We start from the raw sequence: 20967 nt of genomic DNA, 5'->3' as shown, positions 1-20967 counted from the left end.
TGGCAAGTGTAAATCAGCTTCAACCGAGGGTGAAAGACTCATAGACGTCTAACCTTCTAGTTCCCTGACCAGCCCACTAAGTAAAGACACTGATCACAGAAGTATTCATATTCTGACATTATCCAGCTCATTCATTCCAAAAGGTATGGGAAATGTCTGGGTGACAAAGGAGATCAGCTAATTGGGAGTACTTCACAGAGGTGTAGTGCATGGAACAATGCTCCTCAGAGAAACCTCAACTATCATACATTACTGTCTTTTTTGAATAAAACAAAAAGAGATCTTTGTCAATGAGACCATGTTAGTACAGATTAGTAATAAACAAAAGTGAAAGCACTGTCCAACCCATCCCTGGAGGTTCATCTCCCATTCCCTCTCTCCCTTTTTCAAGGAATAGATGGAGGAGGTGGAGGGAGTCCAAATATCTGAGCCATTTCTGGATCCATCTTAGACTGTCACAGGCACGAGGAAAGATGGTAAGGCCTGAATTCTTGCCACCATCATAAATAGTGTTCTTTTATTTTTTTCCTTCTCATTATCCTCTCTCCCAGTGCTGATTATTAAATAGCTTCTATTGGCTCTTGCAAACTTTTATCATTTCAAAATGCATTTGTCATATCCATTTATATTACTCATTTGAATCTGAATGGCAAGAAACATAAAAATATGGTATAAGTTATTAGATATTCTTAATATTTTTAGAAACATGAATGTGGTATGTGACTAAATTTTAACTTGGCTTCAATATTATTTAAAATCTGAATTAAAATATCAGAACATTACTATCATAATACAAATTAATTAAAATGAAGATGGCCAAGAAGCTGAATAATTGCCAAGAGAGTGAAAAACAAAAAAAGGTTCTGGGAATAAAGGCATTATTGATCTTGTGTTCATTTTTTCATCAAATATTCCCCCATTCAATCTGATTTGTCTATTGAAAATGCTTTCTATTAGGTTGGTGCAAAGGGAATTGCAGTTTTTGACATTAAAATTAATGTCAAATAGAAGGTGAAGGGTGCATTTCACCAACAAATCCAAAGGTCCTTTATCTGTCCCTGTTGTCTCTGACCCTTCATCATTAAGCATTATTAAACACCCCTTGTCTTCATGACTCAGGATAAAGTTTCTGAAGGTAGATGACTTATCTTATTTTTCTTTGTATTCCCAGTACTTATAGAAATACTTGACACATAGTAAGTGCTTAAGATGACTAAGTGATCTTCCCCTTGCCTCCTGGATTGAATCATCCTCTCCTCAGGTCCTGGCAATTTCTGGTGTTCCTAATGCACACCTCAGGTTTGACCCTCCCATCCCATAGGAGCTCCTGCCCTAATTTCTTACTCCTTACTGAATACTTCTCTCTCAGACTCAAATGAACCCGCAGTCATCATTCTTCTCCATCTAACATTCTGTACACTACAACCTCAATGGCAGCATTATTTCTGCTTCCCAGGTTGAAAACAATGATAACACCTTTGCCGTGTGCCTCTTCTTCATTTCCTACAGACAAGCAATCATTAACTTCTGTCCATTGTTTTGACACATCCTTTGAAATATCTAATATTCATCCACCACCTAGTCTCATTTGCCATTGCAATCACTCTGGATGAAACGACTCATTTAATAACTGTGGTAGAGTCTTAATATGGTTTCTATGCTTTATCTCACAAATGAAAACCAGATTTTCCTTTCTTTTTCCTTTTATTTTTATTTTTATTTTTTGAGATGGAGTCTTGCTCTGTCTCCCAGGCTGGAGTGCAATGGTGCAATTTTGGCTCACTGCAACCTCTGCCTCCCTGGTTCAAGCTATTCTCCTGCCTCATTCTCCCAAGGAGCTGGGATTACAGGTGCTTGCCACTGCGCCCAGATAATTTTTATATTTTTAGTAGAGATGGGGTTTCAGCATGTTAGCCAGCCTGGTCTCGAACTCTTGACCTCAGGTGATCTCGCCTCAGCCTCCCAAAGTGCTGGGATTACAGGCGTGAGCCACCACACCTGGCCCAGATTTTCCTTTCTTAAATACCACTTTAATTGTGAAATTTCAAGTTTCAAAAATTTATGATGATGCCTCTTTTTTCTTTCTTCATCAAGTTAAACTTCTGACTCCAGGTTATTTACAATCTTAGCAATTTCAGTTTTATCTCCCATTTCCCCCCAAATGGACTTTCTCCTCTTGTCAGTCCAGTTATCTCACTGAAGCCCTGAGAGACGATGTTTATAGGTGTAACTTTGCTTTTTCTCACCTTCTCATAGAAAAGCTTTTCATAGCCTCACTGAAATCTTAAGCTTGTTCAATGTCCACCTTCAATCCTATCTCTTTCATGAAGCTTTCACTGACTCCCCAGTGATCTCTCTTTCATTGAGCATAAATGGTACTTGCTAGTTGCACAAGCCATTTTAAACCTGTTACAGGCTGAATTGTGTCACCTCAAAATTCACATGTTGAAATCTTAACCTCCAGTAGCTCAGAATGTGACTGTATTTGGAGATAGGGTCTTTAGCGAGGTAATTAAGCTAAAATGATGTCATTAAAGTGGGTCCTAATCTAATGTGACTGCTGTCCTTAAAAGAGCAGATTAAGACAGACACACACATTGAATCCATAAATTACCTTGGGCAGTATGGCCATTTTCACAATATTGATTCTTCCTACCCATGAGCATGAAATGTTCTTCCATTTGTTTGTATCCTCTTTTATTTCATTGAGCAGTGGTTTGTTTATAGATTCAATGCCATCCCCATCAAGCTACCAATGACTTTCTTCACAGAATTGGAAAAAACAACTTTAAAGTTCATATGGAACCAAAAAAGAGCCCACATTGCCAAGTCAATCCTAAGCCAAAAGAACAAAGCTGGAGGCATCATGCTACCTGGCTTCAAACTATACTACAAGGCTGCAGTAACCAAAACAGCATGGTACTGATACCAAAACAGAGATATAGACCAATGGAACAGAACAGAGCCCTCAGAAATAATGCCACTTATCTACAACTATCTGATCTTTGACAAACCTGACAAAAACAAGAAATGGGGGAAATGATTCCCTATTTAATAAATGGTGCTGGGAAAACTGGCTAGCCATATGTAGAAAGCTGAAACTGGATCCCTTCATTACACCTTATACTAAAATTAATTCAAGATGGATTAGAGATTTAAATGTTAGACCTAAAACCATAAAAACCCTAGAAGAAAACCTAGGCAATACCATTCCTTACATGGGCAAGGAATTCATGACTAAAACACCAAAAGCAATGGCAACAAAAGCCAAAATTGACAAATGGGATCTAATTAAACTAAAGAGCTTCTGCACAGCCAAAGAAACTACCATCAGAGTGAATAGGCAACCTACAGAATGGGAGAAAATTTTTGCAATCTACTCATCTGACAAAGGGCTAATATCTAGAATCTACAGTGAACTCAAACAAATTTACAAGAAAAAAACAAACAACCCCATCAAAAAGTGGGCGAAGGATATGAACAGACACTTCTCAAAAGAAGACATTTATGCAGCCAAAAAACACATGAAAAAATGCTCATCATCACTGGCCATCAGAGAAATGCAAATCAAAACCACAATGAGATACCACCTCACGCCAGTTAGAATGGCGATCATTAAAAAGTCAGGAAACAACAGGTGCTGGAGAGGATGTGGAGAAATAGGAACACTTTTACACTGTTGGTGGGACTGTAAACTAGTTCAACCATTGTGGAAGTCAGTGTGGCGAATCCTCAGGGATCTAGAACTAGAAATACCATTTGACCCAGCCATCCCATTACTGGGTATATACTCAAAGGATTATAAATCATGCTGCTATAAAGACACATGCACACATATGTTTATTGTGGCACTATTCACAATAGCAAAGACTTGGAACCAACCCAAATGTCCAACAATGATAGACTGGACTAAGAAAATGTGGCACATATACACCATGGAATACTATGCAGCCACAAAAAATGATGAGTTCATATCCTTTGTAGGGACATGGATGAAGGTGGAAACCATCATTCTCAGTGAACTATTGCAAGGACAAAAAACCAAACACTGCATGTTCTCACTCACAGGTGGGAATTGAACAATGAGAACACATGGACACAGGAAGGGGAACATCACACATCGGTGCCTGTTGTGGGGTGGGGGGAGGGGGGAGGGATAGCATTAGGAGATATACCTAATGTTAAATGACAAGTTAATGGGTGCAGCACACCAACATGGCACATGTATATATATGTAACAAACCTGCACGTTGTGCACATGTACCCTAAAATTTAGAGTATAATAATAATAAAAAAAAGACAGACACACACAAATAGAAGACCATGAGAAGATGACCATCTAAAGGCAAGGAAAAAGGCCTCAGAGGAAAACAACCTTGCTGACACCTTGATCTTGAACTTCTAGCCTCCAGAACTGTGAGAAAGTAAGTTTCTGCTGTTTAAATCACTCAGTCTATGGTACTTTGTTATGGCAGCCCTGGAAAACTAACATAGAACCTAATCCCATATTCTTGCCGCTTACTATTTTTCACTGTGAATTTTTTTTTTTAAATAGTGGAACTCGAAGTCTCTAGATGGTGGGGATCATGACTTAGGTTTTGATGTCTTTGTGTCATTTCATTGGTGATCTACATGTGGTAGTGTTTGGAGATGCAAAGACTGTGATTTCATTTCAGCTTAGAGATGTAGTGCTAAGTGAATAGTAGATATTCATATACTTCTGTGAACTGGATCACTATTGTCATCACATATAAAAATAAATTTCTCATGCTTTAAAGATAAATGTAAATAAAATAAGTAATAAAGCTCTTGGAAGAAAATCTGGGATAATTCATGAACAATCTAGGGGTGTGAATATTTTTATCAAGATTCAGAAGTCATAAAAAAGATAAGACATATTTGCCTATTAAATATAGGCAAAAACCTTTATTTGGCAACAAAGTCAAAAGACACATGATAGACTTGGAAGGCTATATTTACAACACAGATATAAATAAAGGGTTCATATTTTTAATATGCAAAGAGTGCTAACAAATGACTACCAAAAATATAGACCAATGAAAAGTGAGCAAGATTCCAGTAGAAAATTCAAGATGCACAAATCCAAAAAGCAAATAAGCATGGGAAGGCACCTGAATTTACTAGCAGATAAGGGAATATAAATTAAAACAAGATGCCATTTACTTTGCTACACATTAGCAAAGATTAAAAAGAAGAATATTGGCTGGGCGCAGTGGCTCACACCTGTAATCCCAGCACTTTGGGAGGCCGAGGTGGGCAGATCACGAGGTCAGGAGATCGAGACCATCCTGGCTAACACGGTGAAACACCATCTCTACTAAAAATACAAAAAATTAGCCGGGTGTGGTGGCAGGCGCCTGTAGTCTCAGCTACTCAGGAGGCTGAGGCAGGAGAATGGTGTGAACCCGGGAGGAAGAGCTTGCAGTGAGCTGAGATCACGTCAATGCACTCCAGCCTGGGTGACACAGCAAGACTCCATCTAAAAAAAAAAAAAAAAAAAGAAGGATATCACTGATGGACAGGATGTCAGGACAAGTGTATGCTCCCAAATTGTTGAAGGAAATGTTAATTTCTAGAGCCTTTTAGGAAACCAATCTATTAAAACCAAAAACATCTTGTAACTCAGTAACTTCATCACTGGGGATTTGTCCCATAATATTAAAATTCCAGTACACAAGTACATTTTCAATGATATTTACTGCAACATTTTTCATGGTAGCAAAAAATGGAAACAAAGAGAATATCTAACAATAGGGAAAAGGTTATGTAATTATTGTGATTCACAAATAGAGGATTATGCAGCCATTGAAAAGAATAAATTACAGCTATACTAGTTGATATGCAGGGATTCCTGCAAAGGTATTGAGAAAAGCAAGTTGCTTAAGTGTTTATATTATGATCATATTATGATCCTATTTATATAAAACAATGATGAAAATCTCTGTTATATATATACACCTACATGTATGCACATCTGCAAAAAATATGAAAAATTACATTTTCTATAATACTAGTTCCCTTGGTTGGGGGTGAGTAATGTGGGTTGAGAAAAGGAACAGAGGGGAGCAAACAGAAAAAAAAGAGAAAAAGAAAACAAAACACTACATTAAATAATAATCCTGGAATGGGCTGTGTGCGGTGGCTCACACCTGTAATTCCAGCACTTTGGGAGGCCGAGGCGGGTGTATTACTTGAGGCCAGGAGTTCGAGACCAGTCTGGCCAACATGGTGAAACTCCATCTCTACTAAAAATACAAAATTTAGCCGGGCATGGTGGCACACGCCTGTAATCCCAGCTACTAGGGAGGCTGAGGCAGAAGGATCACTTGAACCTGGGGGGCAGAGGTTGCAGTGACCTGAGATTGTGCCACTGCACTCCCATCTGGGTACCAGAGCAAGACTCCATCTCAAAAAAAAAAAAAAAAAAAAAAAAAAAAGAATCCTGGAATGTATGGTATGGTAGCATTGATGTAAAATCATAAATATGCATGTTAGTGTATCATGGAGATCTAAAAATCAAAATGCATTGAATTTTCAGAATTTCTGAAAATCTAATCTGCTTTAGTGTTAGCTTCTTGACATTGTTTCTTCACCAGGATAATCTAAAGCCAGAGGGCTGACTAGTCTTAAGGGGTGTCTCACTTAAGATATTGCAATGCAAGGTGGCCAGCCAGTGAATGAAAATTATGATGAATGTATTGCATTCAACAGACTATGATTGCTCTGCTTAAATTCCTTCAGAATATTTTTTTAAAGAGCAAACTTCCCATGAGCTTATCAGCATACAAATATTTCAGAGAGGCATACATTTATTTGGCCTCTAATGGATCTGTGAATTTTTGCTCCTTTGGAAAAATATAAACACTCTCTACTAACCTCATCCTAACCCCTTAATTACAAAAGTGACATAAACATTTATAATCACAAATTATCAGCAGCATATCAATGTGGGTACTAGCATAATAAGGTTTGTGGCTATTTTGTGGGTTGTGCGTGGTAAATATTAGCTTGTAAAGGTTATTGCTGTATTCAGTAGCCAGAAGGTAAGATATTTATTTACGTTGCAGTTGTGGTAATAATGTCATTAAGTGTTTTGGTTTGTCAGAAATGCACTTTTTTTGGATAATGAATCACCTAACATCCCCGCTTTTTTGCATTCAGAAGAAAGAAGATAGATTTAAAACTCATTGCCAGGGAAAATTGATTTAGAAAATTAAATTTCAGTATTAGTCTCATTTTAATGATAATTACACTGTTTTACTTAAGTATACATGCAGAGTATAATTTGCAGAAATATCACATGTCTAAATCAAATATTAGCAGAACAGAAATGCACTTGTTACTGTAATTTTTTCCTTAATAAATCAACTTTTCAGTTTTTGTAAATTTCCATTTCCTCCTAAGAGTCTATGACCTTCAAGCAATAGAGTGATCTATGGGAAATCTTAGGAGAGGAATTTTCATTGCTGCATGTTAAAGGCAGACTCACTCTAGTCATGGTTGCAACCTGCCTTCTGGAAGCTGCCATTTCCACCAGTCACCTCATCTGCCCTTGGCCAGGCTGGCTGTTTTGGCACTGGTTCTAGACTTAAAGAGAGCTGCACACAGTTCTGAGCTTATGGACAGGACAGTTCCAAAGGAGTCCTCTCTGCCTTGCATGGCCTCCTTCCTTTAGCACCGACGGACATGTTCAATTCTCTCTCTCTTTTTATTAAGAGATGGGGTCTTGTTATGTTGCCCAGGCTGGTCTCGAATTCCGGGGCTCTAACCCTCTCACCTCAGCCTTCCGAGTAGCTGGGATTACAGGCCTGAGCCTTCGTACCCTTAATTCTCATGCTTGCCCTGGATTTGACCTCTTGCGTCTACTCTGGGATATCTCTGTTCTCTTGAGTTTATTTGAGGTGAAAAGCTAAGGGTACGTGCTTGTCCTGCTCTGAGTGTCCCTAGAACTTAGGGGATGTGTTACTATTTAGGGGATCTGACTCGCAGTCTTCTCTGACCTTCTCAAGAGGCAACTGCCACCCCCAGCCCCATTCTGAACTGCACAACCACTCCCGTGGCCTTTCTCTTCCTGCCAACTGAATGCCGATGCCCCAGGGATAGCTTCCACCTCTACCCATCCTATAGGTCATGGGCTTGTAGCTTTTGGCCGCTCTCTGATTTGGGTACTTTGAATTAATACCCAGATCCTTGAAAACGACTTTTAGTTTTATTTATTTTTTATTTTTTATTATTATTTTTTTTGAGACGAAGTCTCACTCTGTTGCCCAGGCTGGAGTGCAGTGGCGCAATCTTGGCTCACTGCAAGCTCCGCCTCCCGGGTTCACACCATTCTCCTGCCTCAGCCTCCTGAGTAGCTGGGACTATAGGCGCCCGCCACCAAGCCCGGCTAATTTTTTGTATTTTTAGTAGAGACGGGTTTCACCTTGTTAGCCAGGATGGTCTCGATCTCCTGACCTCGTGATCCGCCGGCCTCGGCCTCCCAAAGTGCTGGGATTACAGGCGTGAGCCACCACGCCCAGCCGAAACATTTAGTTTTTTAACAATACTGGTAGGTTCAGGTAAGGTTCCTGCCCCACATGTCTCTCCTAGTTGTGGCAGGAGAAGCAGGAGGATAAAGCAGCCTGTGTGGGGGGTGAGACCCACAGATACACCCTCTGGACTGTCGCTTGTCTCTTGCACATTATCGCTACATCTTGGCACTCCACTTCTGTCATTTTCCTTGGGCTGTCATCTCGCATGGATTACAGTCCTCAAAAGCCAGTTCGTTTTGTTCTAGTCCAAGGAGTTAGATTACACACACACCTGCCTGGTCATCTCGCTTATATGTGAGCAGTCATCAAAACAGGGCGCCACAACAGAAGCACATGCGAATGCACATGGTGATACCAAGGGTGCCCTGAGAGTGAGGTCTTTGTTGGGGAGAATGAGCTGTTATGCGGAACACTGTGAGCACGTCTTCTGTGTATGACTGCCCACCAACTATGGATACAGCCAAACAACCAAAATACATGTTTATTTGCTTGGAGAATAAGGAAAACTCAGAGGTGGCATCTAATTACATCTTGGCTATTTTTCAAAATGAAGTGGGTATTCATTTATTTAAAAAATTTATATACATAGCCTGAGGTGAAAACTTGGAATAATTTTTCCCAGAGAGCCAAACTTAAAAAAATTATTTATTGACTGTTCATAGTCATTTTCTTAGATTGGCCTGTTAAAAATACAGAATTGAAGAACATTCTCTGACTTTAAACACACAACATTTGTTTTTTTCTTTCCCTCCGCTCATACTTCATAACACATAGATAAAAGGGTTTTTGGTTCCTATCAAGATGAGCTGAAATATACCAGTATTTTTAAAAAGTGATTATTCTTTATTAGAGCACATCTGATCACAAGCTGGCTGGAGGAGTATCAAAGAAACTTTTAGTGGCTTGAGACAGCATGGCAGCAAAGGTGACAGATCTGGAGATGACACTCTAGTCTTACCACATGTGGCTGTGGAAGTCCTCTACCAGGTTGCAATAATATTATTCAGATTCTTAATTTTATATAGAAGTGAAGTTAGCGAGGGATGGAGAGTATCCGCTATACTGGAGATGACCATCTTGTTCTCACTAACTAGTCACTCAACTCTTCTAGAACCCTAGACTTAGGGGCTCTTGTTGTTAATGAACCACCTCGCGTATGTGAAGATTAAGCTGAATTACTTACAGTATTACAATTCCAATTCTGCAATATTTTATTCAGTGGTTAGATTAGCTAGCAGTTTGCTAAGGCTATTCTTTGAAAAATGAATTTAAAGGGCTGTTAATATTCCATATGTGAATGTGTCATTACTTATTAATCATTCTCCTATTGTTCAATTTTTTTTCTTACCATATACACAATTTTTTTTTCAGCTCTGATTGTTTCCTTAGGCTATGCTCTCATAAGTGAGTTTACTGGGTCAATGATATAAACTAATTCAGTGGGGTTTTTTTTTTTTTTTGGACATATTGCCAAGTCACTTTTCAAAATGTTGACACTGCCATCTTACCATATGTTTGGGAATAATTACATTAGCACTTTGTTATTACTGTTAAAATATTTTTTCATACTTGCAATTTTGATGAGTAAAGAATAGTAGTGGGTTTGACTTTTTATTTTTTTTACTCCTAGAGTGGTCATATATATGCTTATTTTCCATCTGTATTTCTTCTTTTGTAAATAAATTAATGGCTTGTGCCATTTTTCCATTGAGAGTGCTATTTTTCCGAATGATTTATAAAGAGCTCTTTCTACGCTAAACAGTTTAACTCTTTTTACATTTGTTCCAAATATTTTGTCTTCAGCTCTTTAACTTTTAATCATGCTTTGGAATCTCTAGAAGGTTTTAACATTCATGTAATCCAAATCTATCACAGTTTTTCTTTGTAATTCCTTTTATTACTTCTTATAGTTTGTCCTTTCTAAGCAGAGATTGTGAAATGCTCAGTTCATAGCATCTGGCTTCATTTGGTTTGTTTATTTCTTACATTTAAATGATCAGTGCATCTGGAAAATAACTGGGCATTCAGCAGAAGATAAGAATATTTTATTTCCTCATCCCAAATCAGAGACATTTTAAGCATTATCCATCCATTTCTTTTCTGTTCGTATGTATCTTTTTGTAAATGACAGGTTTTTATAAATACTCAGGTCAATTTTAGGGCTATTCTGTTTCATTAATCTGTGATTGATTTTTGTAAAGGGGACATATGATTTTAATTATTATAGCATTATTCATTTTACTATCTAATGAATAAGTCCTCATTTATAGTTATTCTTTTTTTCTCTGAAATTTACAAATGATCCTTAGGGATATTTTCTTAAATTCCAAAGAAAATCTCATAGAGATTTTGAATGCAATTTTTTTAAACCTAGAAAGTAATTTTAGAATGGTCATGTTTACCGTATTTTATCTTTCAATTCAGAAACACAATGTATCATTCCATTATGCATCTCTTCTTTTTTGTCTCTTTCAGGTTTGGTTGCTAGCTTTATTTCAAGGTATTGATTTTTTTTTTTTGCTATTATTTCCAATGGGCTCTTTTTCTATTAGAAATTTTTATAGGAAAGAATATCTATCTATATAACTATACATCCTTACTGAATTCTATTCCTAGCATCAATCATTGCATTTTTAATGTTGTCTGCTAATAGTCCTACAATCCCATCTGTTCCCTTTTGATAGTTATGCTTTTTGAAAAAGCTTCTCTTTGCTGTCTTATTGCATTAACTGGAAATTTCCCAATAACATAAAAATGTGGTGTTACTAGTATCTTTATCTTCATCCTCCTTTTTAATGCAACTGCTTCCAGTGTTTTATAGTTAATTATGAGGTAGATGATTGAATTAAGAAACGTATTCTTCATATTGTTAAAGAATATCCTTCTGCTTTTGGTTTAGTAAGAGTTTTACATTTCATCAGTACAGAGTGTTGGATTTTACTGAAAACTGTTTCAGCATTTATCAAGATAGTTTTTTTGATCTTTTGATATGTTATATTAATATGTATTATGTGGACAGTCTTTTAATGTACTATTGCATTCCATTGGCTAGTATTAAATACTATACTCAGGAATTTTATCTCTAAATTAATAATTGAGGCCAGGCGCGGTGGCTCACACTTGTAATCCCAGCACTTTGGGAGGCTGAGGCAGGTGGATCACCTGAGGTCAGGAGTTCAAGACCAGCCTGGCCAACATGGTGAAACCCCATCTCTACTAAAAATACAAAAAAGTAGCCAGGCGTGGTGCCGCACGTTTGTAGTCCCAGCTACTCGGGAGGCTGAGGCATGAGAATCACTTGAACCCAGCAGGCAGAGGTGGCAGTGAGCCGAGGTCGTGCCACTGCACTCCAGCCTGGGTGAAAGAGTGAGACTCTGTCTCAAAAATTAATTAATTAATAATTGAGATTGAACAATAGTTTTTAAAAAATGTTATTGTTAGACTTTTGTTCTAGGACAGATGAACATCATAAAATAGGTAACTTCGTATATTTTTCTTTCTTTTTTTCTCAAACAAATCACATACAATGAGATTTATCTGTTCCATGAATGTTTGAATGTGTTTGCATAAAACACTAGGAGTTCTTGGAACCTTTGTTGGAGGTAATTCTTTGAACAGCCACATCATCATACAGTAAGTTCTCACTTGACAATGTCAATGGGTTCTTAGAAACTGCAACTTTAAGCGAAATGACCAATTTTACAATAGACTGATATAAACAAGAGTTAACTTCTTATGGTATATTTTTGGTCACAAAAACATTACCAAACTTCTCAACAGAGACCAACACTGAAATATATGTGAACTATGCATACATTTAAGAAAAATTAGGTCAGGTGCAGTGGCTCAAGCCTGTAATCCCAGCACTTTGGGAGGTAAAGGTGGGCAGATCACTTAACGTCAGGAGTTTGAGGTCAGCCTGGCCAACATGGTAAAACCCAGTCTCTAATAAAAAAAAATACAAAAATTAGCTGGGCATGGTGGTGGTCGCCTGTAATCCCAGCTACTGGGGAGGCTGAGGCAGGAGAATCACTTGAACCCAGGAGGCAGAGGTTCCAGCAAGCTGAGATCGCGCCATTGCACTCCAGCCTGGACAACAAGAGTGAAACTCCGTCTCAAAAAAAAAAAAAAAAAAAAAAAAAATTAGGCTGGGCACGGTGTAATCCCAGCACTTTGGGAGGCCAAGGCGGGCGGATCACAGGGTCGGATCGAGACCACCCTGGCTAACATGGTGAAACCCCATCTCTACTAAAAATATAAAAAATTAGCCCGGCGTGGTGGCTGGCGCCTGGAGCCCCAGCTACTAGGGAGGCTGAGGCAGGAGAATGGTGAGAACCTGGGAGGCGGAGCTTGCAGTGAGTCGAGATCGCGCCACTGCACTACAGCCTGGGTGACAGAGCAAGACTCTGTCTCAAAAATAAATAAATAAATAAATAAATAAACATTTAAAGCAGAAGGCAAGCAGAGTTATTAGCTGTATTAAAGCTGAAGTGTTCAGTTAATATAATTCCTACTGTCTTCAGACTGTCTGAGTTCCCTTTTGAAAACAGATGAATAATCATTTTATGTATATTTTCTTCAGGAAAATCAGAAGATTTAGATGTTATGAAATCCCACACCTGGGTAAAGTTGTCCCTTGTTGTTGTTGTTCTTTTTCTTCTTTTTGCTTTTTTTTTTTTTGAGACAGAGTCTCGCTCTGTCACCCAGGCTGGAGTGCAGTGGCACGATTTCGGCTCACTGCAACTTCCACCTCCCAGGTTCAAGTAATTCTACTTGCCTCAGCCTCCAGAGTAGCTGGTATTATGGGCACCTGCCACCAGGCCCAGCTAATTTTTGTATTTTTAGTAGAGAAGGGGTTTCACCATATTGGTCAGGCTGGTCTTGAACTCCTGACCTGAGATGTTCAAAAGTGAAAATCTTGGTGGCGACCTCTACTTCCTCCCAGGACGCTGCCTCCCATTTGTACCTCTCCTTTCCAGCAGCGGCCTGGGGTGAGCTGCCTGGCTTCCTTGCTTCCCCACACCACCTGCTCCTCTCTGCCCCACACTCACCAGTGCTGCCACTTCTGTGACCATGAGGGAACCTGAAGCCCTGGCCTTCCCTCAGCTCCTACCCTGCCAGCATGCCTCCTGGGCACAGGCCATTGCAGCAGCCAAATGAATGGGCCTCTGGGCTCTGACTTGCTAGTCTCTCTTCTTCACAGCAGGAGGCTCTCAGCCAGGGCCAGAGAGCAGGAGAGCAGCAGGAATGAAGGGCACCAAAGAGCCATTTGTGGTCAGCTTCACTGCAATTCTTGACTTGAAAACGATGTGGCAGAATAATTGATGAAAACATTAAGGTATTTCCCCTTCCTCTCATATCAGGCAAATAGCCAAGTGCATCTTAGTATATTTCTGCCTCAGAGATTTTTTCAGGGAAGAAATTAGAAGTTGCATGAGGTCAGTGGCTCCTCCTGTCTTTGGTAACAGCCAAACTCATTGCAGAGATGATGTCAGGGATCCCTGAACGGGGCAGTGAGATTGCGGAGGGCCTCCAAGAAAGCAAGGGAAAATAAATGCAGATTCTTCTGGGCAGAGGTCAGCAGGGTTCAAAGTCGTGGGACTCCTGAACTTTACCGTGACAGCTCCTGGGGGAGGTCATAAGACTGCAGAGAGAATGGCTACCTGGAGTGGGCATGGATAATATGAGGCTCCAGACCTCCACAGTCTAGGTGCCACCTGCAGGGTGTGGGAGCAGCCAGACCTCCCAACCTGAAGGGCTCATGGAGGCCAGCTGGAGCCATGAGTGTCCCAACAGTAACTTCATGGGCAAATGACCAGAGACTACAGGGTGTACCTGATCTTTTGGTGGTGTGCAAGGCCATATAACCTTTGCACAGCTCTGGGGAGAGGGAGGTCTGAAAATTATTGAGATTGAATTCCTCACCAGTTTAGTATAATAGGTTGACTAGAAAAAAGTTCAATAACAATACTTCTTGTATAATGGGGTTTTGCACCTTCCACACTCTATACTCAAGGTTGCAGATGTTGACAAAGGAAATAGAAATATTTCTATTTCTATTTTTGCGCTCTCTTATCAAATCTGCCTCCTGCCAGCCCCCCTCTCTATACCAACCCCTTTTATTCCCTTGTGGCGTCATATGCCAAGTTCTAGTTAAAATGAAAAAAGGAAAACATACTAAATGGAGGGGAATTAAGTCAGAGAAGGTAGAAAGTGGGTAGAACATCCTAAAAAAACTGTATCTCCATATAAGAAATGAAATAAAGGTTCTCCTAAGACAGGACACAGGCTCCTCAAATCTGCCATAGAATAATGGTGGGAAACTAATAAACAAAGTATCTGGCATTTCCTTCCCATTCAGGAAGTTCTAACTCTACTGATTTTTACCTGAGAGGCACTGCTGAGAAGAAACTCGTCTATTAATTGGCTTATGGTGCGAGACACCCAGATAAAGTGACTTCAGTTGCTGTGACAAAATCATTTCATTCAATTTTTTCTGCAGAATGAAATATTCTTCAGATAACTTTGATATCTAAAAAGAAGGTCATGTGTCAGGTTAAATCAAGGAAAAGAATACAGAGAGTTCTGCAGGCACCGGGGGCTGGGAAACGCCTTACCAGCACTCTTGGGGACTCTCATGTTCCTCTCCAGGGCCCACCCTGTCCCTTGCACCAAGGTCTGATAAAGTTCTCACCTGACAACCTTCCCCCCTTGTGCTCTGAATACTTGCCATCTCACATTTTTCTTTAAAACTGCCAAGCACGTCATGCTACATGCAGAATTCTGTTCTGATCGACTCCTTCCCAGGTTTCTGAGATCCGGCTTCCAGCCTCGCCACTCTGCTGTGTTTGCCTTTCTGCTTCTGTCCTGAGGACCCCTCTGCTGCCTTTGATTGTGTAAACCTCCTTCCTTTTCTTTCCAGTCTTTTTTTTTTTTTTTGAGACGGAGTCTCGCTCTGTCGCCCAGGCTGGAGTGCAGTGGTGCGATCTCCGCTCACTGCAAGCTCCGCCTCCCGGGTTCACGCCATTCTCCTGCCTCAGCCTCCAGAGTAGCTGGGACTACAGGTGCCTGCCACCACGCCCGGCTGATTTTTTGTATTTTTAGTAGAGACAGGGTTTCACCACGTTAGCCAGGATGGTCTCGATCTCCTGACCTCGTGATCCGCCCGCCTCAGCCTACCAAAGTTCTGGGATTACAGGCTTGAGCCACCGCGCCCGGCCTTCTTTCCAGTCTTTTACCCTGATTTCAGGGCTGCTCTATTCTGGTTTCTCTTTCCATTCTGCCCCCCGCCTCTATCGTGTCCGCATCCTGGCTCTGAGAACACGGCTGTCCTGCTGGGTTGAGTGTGAGGCTCCTGCTGGGACAGCCTCTAGCTTTGTTCCATGGAGCAGTGAATTTACTCCATGGCATTACTGGCCAGCTCCTAGTGGATGCCTTGGTAATTCTACATCTCATGTCTCCACGGCATAGCAGGTCTGAGTTCTAATCCCTGATTTGGTCTTTGGAGTGAGAAGAACTGTATGTTCGTTAAGCTCACTATTTCCACATGCTTAAGAAGAGTAGGAAGGGGATGGGTAAATTAAAAATGGCAGATCTCTACTGACAGCTAGAAGTTGGAGATGTCTGGGCCACACCTCTCGCACTAAGGAAGGGTCCAAGTGCAGTTATCGTGTTTCTCATAGGCTCAGCCACTGTCAAATACAAAAAGGGGAGTTTAGGGACTCAGGAATATTAGATAGTCTTTCTTGGAACTAACCCATTATGATATTTCTTTTATTACTTCATACACCATTGATTACCCTGGAAATTCATGTATTTTAGAGATCATCCAGTTAAAACTCTTCATTTCACACTGGAGAAAATAACAGTGCTAACACATAAAGTGATTTTATGAAGGTTAAATGCCTAGAAAGAGAAAGGAGGAAGTGGAATTGGTATTTACAGAAGCCGGTTCTTGCGATCTTTCCATAGCACCAATTTATAGGAGATAAATTGTATGTATCAGAGATAAATTGTATGTATCAGAGACAAATTGCATGTATACCCATGAGAAGCCCTAAAACCTGTTGCTTCCTATGCTCCTCTCTAGAAACAGCTGAAACACACCTATGATTGGCATGAGATATTCTCCAGGAGGGAACTTTTCTCTGCGTTTTTTCTTTGTGATTCCTTATTTTCCATGACTGTTCATTCACTGTCATGATGTGACATGCAGACTTTCATCTTCACTGTATATGCTTCGGTGTGGCTACCTATCAAAATCTGATACCTAATTATGTCTTCTCAAATTTGTGAAAGGGAGAAAGCATAAACTTTGGAGGATTTAGAAAACTTAAAACGACTTTTTTTTTTAGCTCTAATTAAAGATCTAATTAAAGATACATCAAACTTTTCACTGTCGAGCCTCAGCATTTTAGTAAGCTGTATAAACCAATCTCTAGTATCACGACTACATGAGGTTTCTATCATATTTTATACTATTGTTACCACGGTAAATTGGGTTAAAAGTTCCTGGCTATTTGAATAGCACAATCCCTGAGACATTTTATTAAAAATGTTTGCGGGCCCATCAACGCAGATAAAACAATCTACCAGTTATTAATTATGTGTTTAATTCAGTTATTGTATAGTTCCCAGGGACTTTTATTAGTAAATAAATTTATTTATTCACATACCTGTTTTGAAAAAATTGCCAAACCACATGCTTCTCTTTCTGAAGTTGCTTTCGAGTCTTTGTTATCCTTCTTCTTGATGTTATTGATTTCCTCATGTTTTGTGGGATAGGAATACAAATTATGAGTGTTTCTTGCTACTTCTGTTGGTGTTGTGACAATCCTCTGATGCTTAAAAGAAGACATCTTGTCCTTCCTCAACTGCTGCCTTCTCTTGTAACCCCGGTATTTGCTCTGAATGAATACCGCTGCTTTATCTTCTTCCTCCTGGGCCTGTGTCACTGGTTCAACTTGCCTCTCTTTGACTGTCTCATGCCTCAGACGGCCTCTGCCTTCCTCCTGGCTGCATATCGGTGCACGCTGGGTAACTACAGATGTCTTCTTTTCTTTTTCCATGCTGTTTGCATTTTGATAAATTGACCTTTGGCTAAGTGTAGGTTCCAAAGTTTTTTTAAAGGAAGTCTCATTTTCAGCTAACCAAGGCACTGGGTAGCTTGGCCTTTCTGATATGGCCTTCCTTTCTAGATATGCTGCTTTTGACTCTTCACAATTCCTCTCCTCTGTGTACCTCTGATAGTAACTCTGGATCATAGCTTCCTCTTTCTCCACTTTCCTTAGATTGCTGTTCTCTTCCAGGTCTTTGACAGACTTCTGTTTGGGGCTTACTTCTGGCCCTACAAGGTAGAATTCTTGCTTAACCTCTTCCTCATACACATTATTCATTTTTTTTGGAGTCTGATACACTCTGTTGTTACTCTCCACAGCATTGGTGGTTTCCTCTTCAGGTTTGAAAGTGGAAGTCTTCACTACAGATACACTTCCTTTATTATTTGGAGCTGAAATGAATCTTTCATTAGCAGAGATTGCATTTTCTGCTTGTTTCTTCACGAAAGATTCCCTGTGTAAAATATATTATCTTTGAATATACAGTACTAAACTGGAGCTTATTACTTCTATTGGCAATAGTTATATGCTAGATACCGGTGGGAGAAAGGCAAAAGGAACAAAGAAAGCTCAAAATTAAAAAGTATCAAGTCACATTAATCAAGTGCTTTCCAGAATGTTCTCTCTGGTGACAACTGTGATAACTACTCAAATAATGAGAAAACCAGATTCAACTCGGAGTGAGAAATATCCTAGCATATGAAGAACCATCTTTTCATTTAATGAGATATCAAAATTCTAGGAACTTAATCCTTTCAAAATATATCCTTTTCAAAACAAAGTACCTTTAGTAGTGAGATGCTGTGAAAAATATACCTAAGTTTGATACCAGTAAGCAGGGTATGTTCACTTGGCTGACATACTGTACTTTAATAAGCACTAAGTTTACTGATCAGAGGAAGTATCTTATAAAATTAAAGGAAAAGCAATGTCCTCGCTACAGTTCATGATCATGTAATACGGTGGCCAAAATTTCACAGTTGCTACTTTGCTAATATCCTTCCAAAATGATTTCCCCTTCACTTGAAGATAAGGTTTTCTCTGCATCTTTTTTTTTTTTTCTAGCCAAAGGCAAAACCCTTACAAGAGCAATACAGCCAAGAAAAAAGTTAAGATGGAATGAAAATGTCATACCATGACACCTTGATATGCTAACACCTCTCGTTGCTACTTGGAGGGCTTTTGCACCAAACTTTTCATCTTAGCCCAGAAACCCATGTGAGAGTTTAGGTCTTCTGTGATCTGTTTGTGAAGTCGGACTCTTCTTTGAGTCAAATCTGGAAAAAGCTACCGGGATTCCATTTTTCTAATTCTACTGGCCACTTCCTAGGACTAGAATTACTGTGGTATCCCCAGGCTAGTACAGGAGGCATAGCAGAATCCTGCTAGGATCAGTCAAAAAACTAGGTAGGGCATCAGATGCCCATGATTTTGATGAATCGCTACACTAGTATTTTGAATTCCTCCATAGTACTGACCTCTCTAAGAATGCTTACATTTATTCAAAATACAACTAAGAAGATAAGCGTGCAGTCCCTAACTGATTACGTTCCGAAAAATCCATTTATAAGTTAGTTTTGATCCTTTAAATGCATTTCACTGGTGAAGACTTGTACACACTGCTGAAATTCCCACATCAGTTACATGTCTGGGCTCAGGCAACTCTACTCTGTGTTGCGGCTGGCTGGGGAACATGTGCAATGATGGGTGCTTCTGAGGATCAACCCTTCAGAGCTCCAGCGTGGGGAGGACTGGCGATCTCTTCTGACATCTGCTGGAGAGCCCTGCCGGCCTGGGCCTTTCTCCAGCTCCCCGCTGTGGTATTCTAGGTCACAGTTCAGGGGCTCTGACAGGGAATGGTTAAGTGAAAACAAGCGCTTCAGGTAGCTGAGGGAAAAGGAAAGTCAGAAGTGGAGGAGGGAGGGAGTGCTGGCCCGCAGATCTCTGGCAGTGGTCAGGCCCACCTGCTTCTCCCTTCCCTAACTTTCCTCTCTACAAGCTTCCCTTGACTTTCTGCCTCTACTTCTTTCATGTCTGACTTTGTCATCCACCTCCCATGAGAGTTAGCCCAATCAATGTCAAATTCTCCATCCCAGACCACAGTGATAGCTTCTTACTCACACTCATGTGCCCTGAAGTGGATCTTGTGTGCAGTAGATTCTTAATAAGTATCTGCTACATTGAAAGCTAATCCCTGGTATCCTCAGAAGAAAGGTGGTAGCAAATGGGTATGTAATTGAACATCACACTTCCTTATTAGATGTGATATCTACAAGCAGTAATTTCTAGAAGTAGTACAATTAGTCCATCTTTCTTCGATTTGCAGCCAGTTTATATTTCTCTCAGCCTCCAGACTGAAGTACAGAAGTCACAGGTATCATCCAGCCTCCTGCTCCTGAGGCAGGCCTGTGATGTCTGGAAGTTTGCTGGACTGTTTTATCGCCAGTAACAAAGAGAAACAAATCATTTGGATCCTCACAAGCAAAGACAGAGAGCATATATATAGGTCTCAGAATACACAAAAACTGAAAACACCAAATGTATCTAAACTTCAAATAAACATTCCTGTTTTTCAAATAAGGAAATGAGGTTGGCCTGAGGGATTCAGGGAATGTGTGGGTGAAGGTGAGGGGAAGAGGTGGCAGAGAAGTCATCTATGAGATCATCTGTGAGACCACTATTGGCAGGAGAGAATAGCGGTGGGTGAAGAGAACGTTAGATGTGGGTGTGTGGGGAAAGAAGGAAGCTAGGAAGCCACCTCTTCTTCTATTTCATTCCTTCACCCTTTCTATGGCCAGACTTGATGTTAAAAACAAGGGGACTAGGGTTGGGGCTGGAATGATCTTTATCTCTCTGGATGACCATGTACTCAGTTTGATAAATTCAAGTTTCACCACTTGGGCAAAATGTAGATATTTTTCCCTTTCCCTAACCACTACCAACCAAGGCAGGGTTCCCTCCTCCTTGCCCCCAGTGTACCCTTTGCCTATTTTTATAGCAGAGTTAACACATTTTACAAGAGGGATGTGTTTGTCTGTCCTGTTTTTTCTGTAATACTCTGAGAAATTTGAGGATAAGGATTTTGCTTCACGTATCTGTGTCCCCACTGCCCAGCATAAAGCCTGCTGAATAAGTGAATAAGTGGTTTGCTAACATGCACTTGGAAGTACAGACATGAGGGCTCACAAGAAGAAAGAGCAGCTGGTGATTATGACATAGGGGCCAATGGCATATTGGCTATTAAAGCCACTGGAATGAATGAGAGGGCCCAGGGATACATTTAGATATGGATGAGG

The 20967-nt window shown here is 40.1% G+C and overlaps 1 protein-coding gene across 21 annotated transcripts in view; it reads right to left on the bottom strand.

The window, feature by feature from the left end:
- Window positions 1–20967, bottom strand: part of MYO3A (myosin IIIA) — a 278304-nt gene that overhangs the window by 20745 nt on the left and 236592 nt on the right. For 14 of the 21 annotated variants that reach the window (XM_011519498.3, XM_011519500.3, NM_017433.5 and 11 more), the window contains 2 exons: window positions 17231–18125; window positions 14943–15087 (listed from right to left, as the gene is read on the bottom strand). The exons of 2 other annotated variants lie outside the window; for them this stretch is intronic. In XM_011519498.3, the coding sequence (XP_011517800.1) occupies window positions 14943–15087; window positions 17231–18125 (1040 nt within the window). Of the gene's footprint in view, window positions 1–14942; window positions 15088–15709; window positions 16247–17230; window positions 18126–20967 lie in introns of those variants that run through there. 5 more of the 21 variants (XR_930494.1, XM_011519505.2, XM_047425360.1 and 2 more) reach the window with 2 other exon arrangements.

Source organism: Homo sapiens, chromosome 10 (assembly GCF_000001405.40).
Source record: "Homo sapiens chromosome 10, GRCh38.p14 Primary Assembly".
NCBI classification, from domain to species: Eukaryota; Metazoa; Chordata; class Mammalia; order Primates; family Hominidae; genus Homo; species Homo sapiens.
The sequence above is the reverse complement of the archived record's forward strand: the minus strand, read 5'-3'. Positions and strand labels throughout refer to the sequence as shown.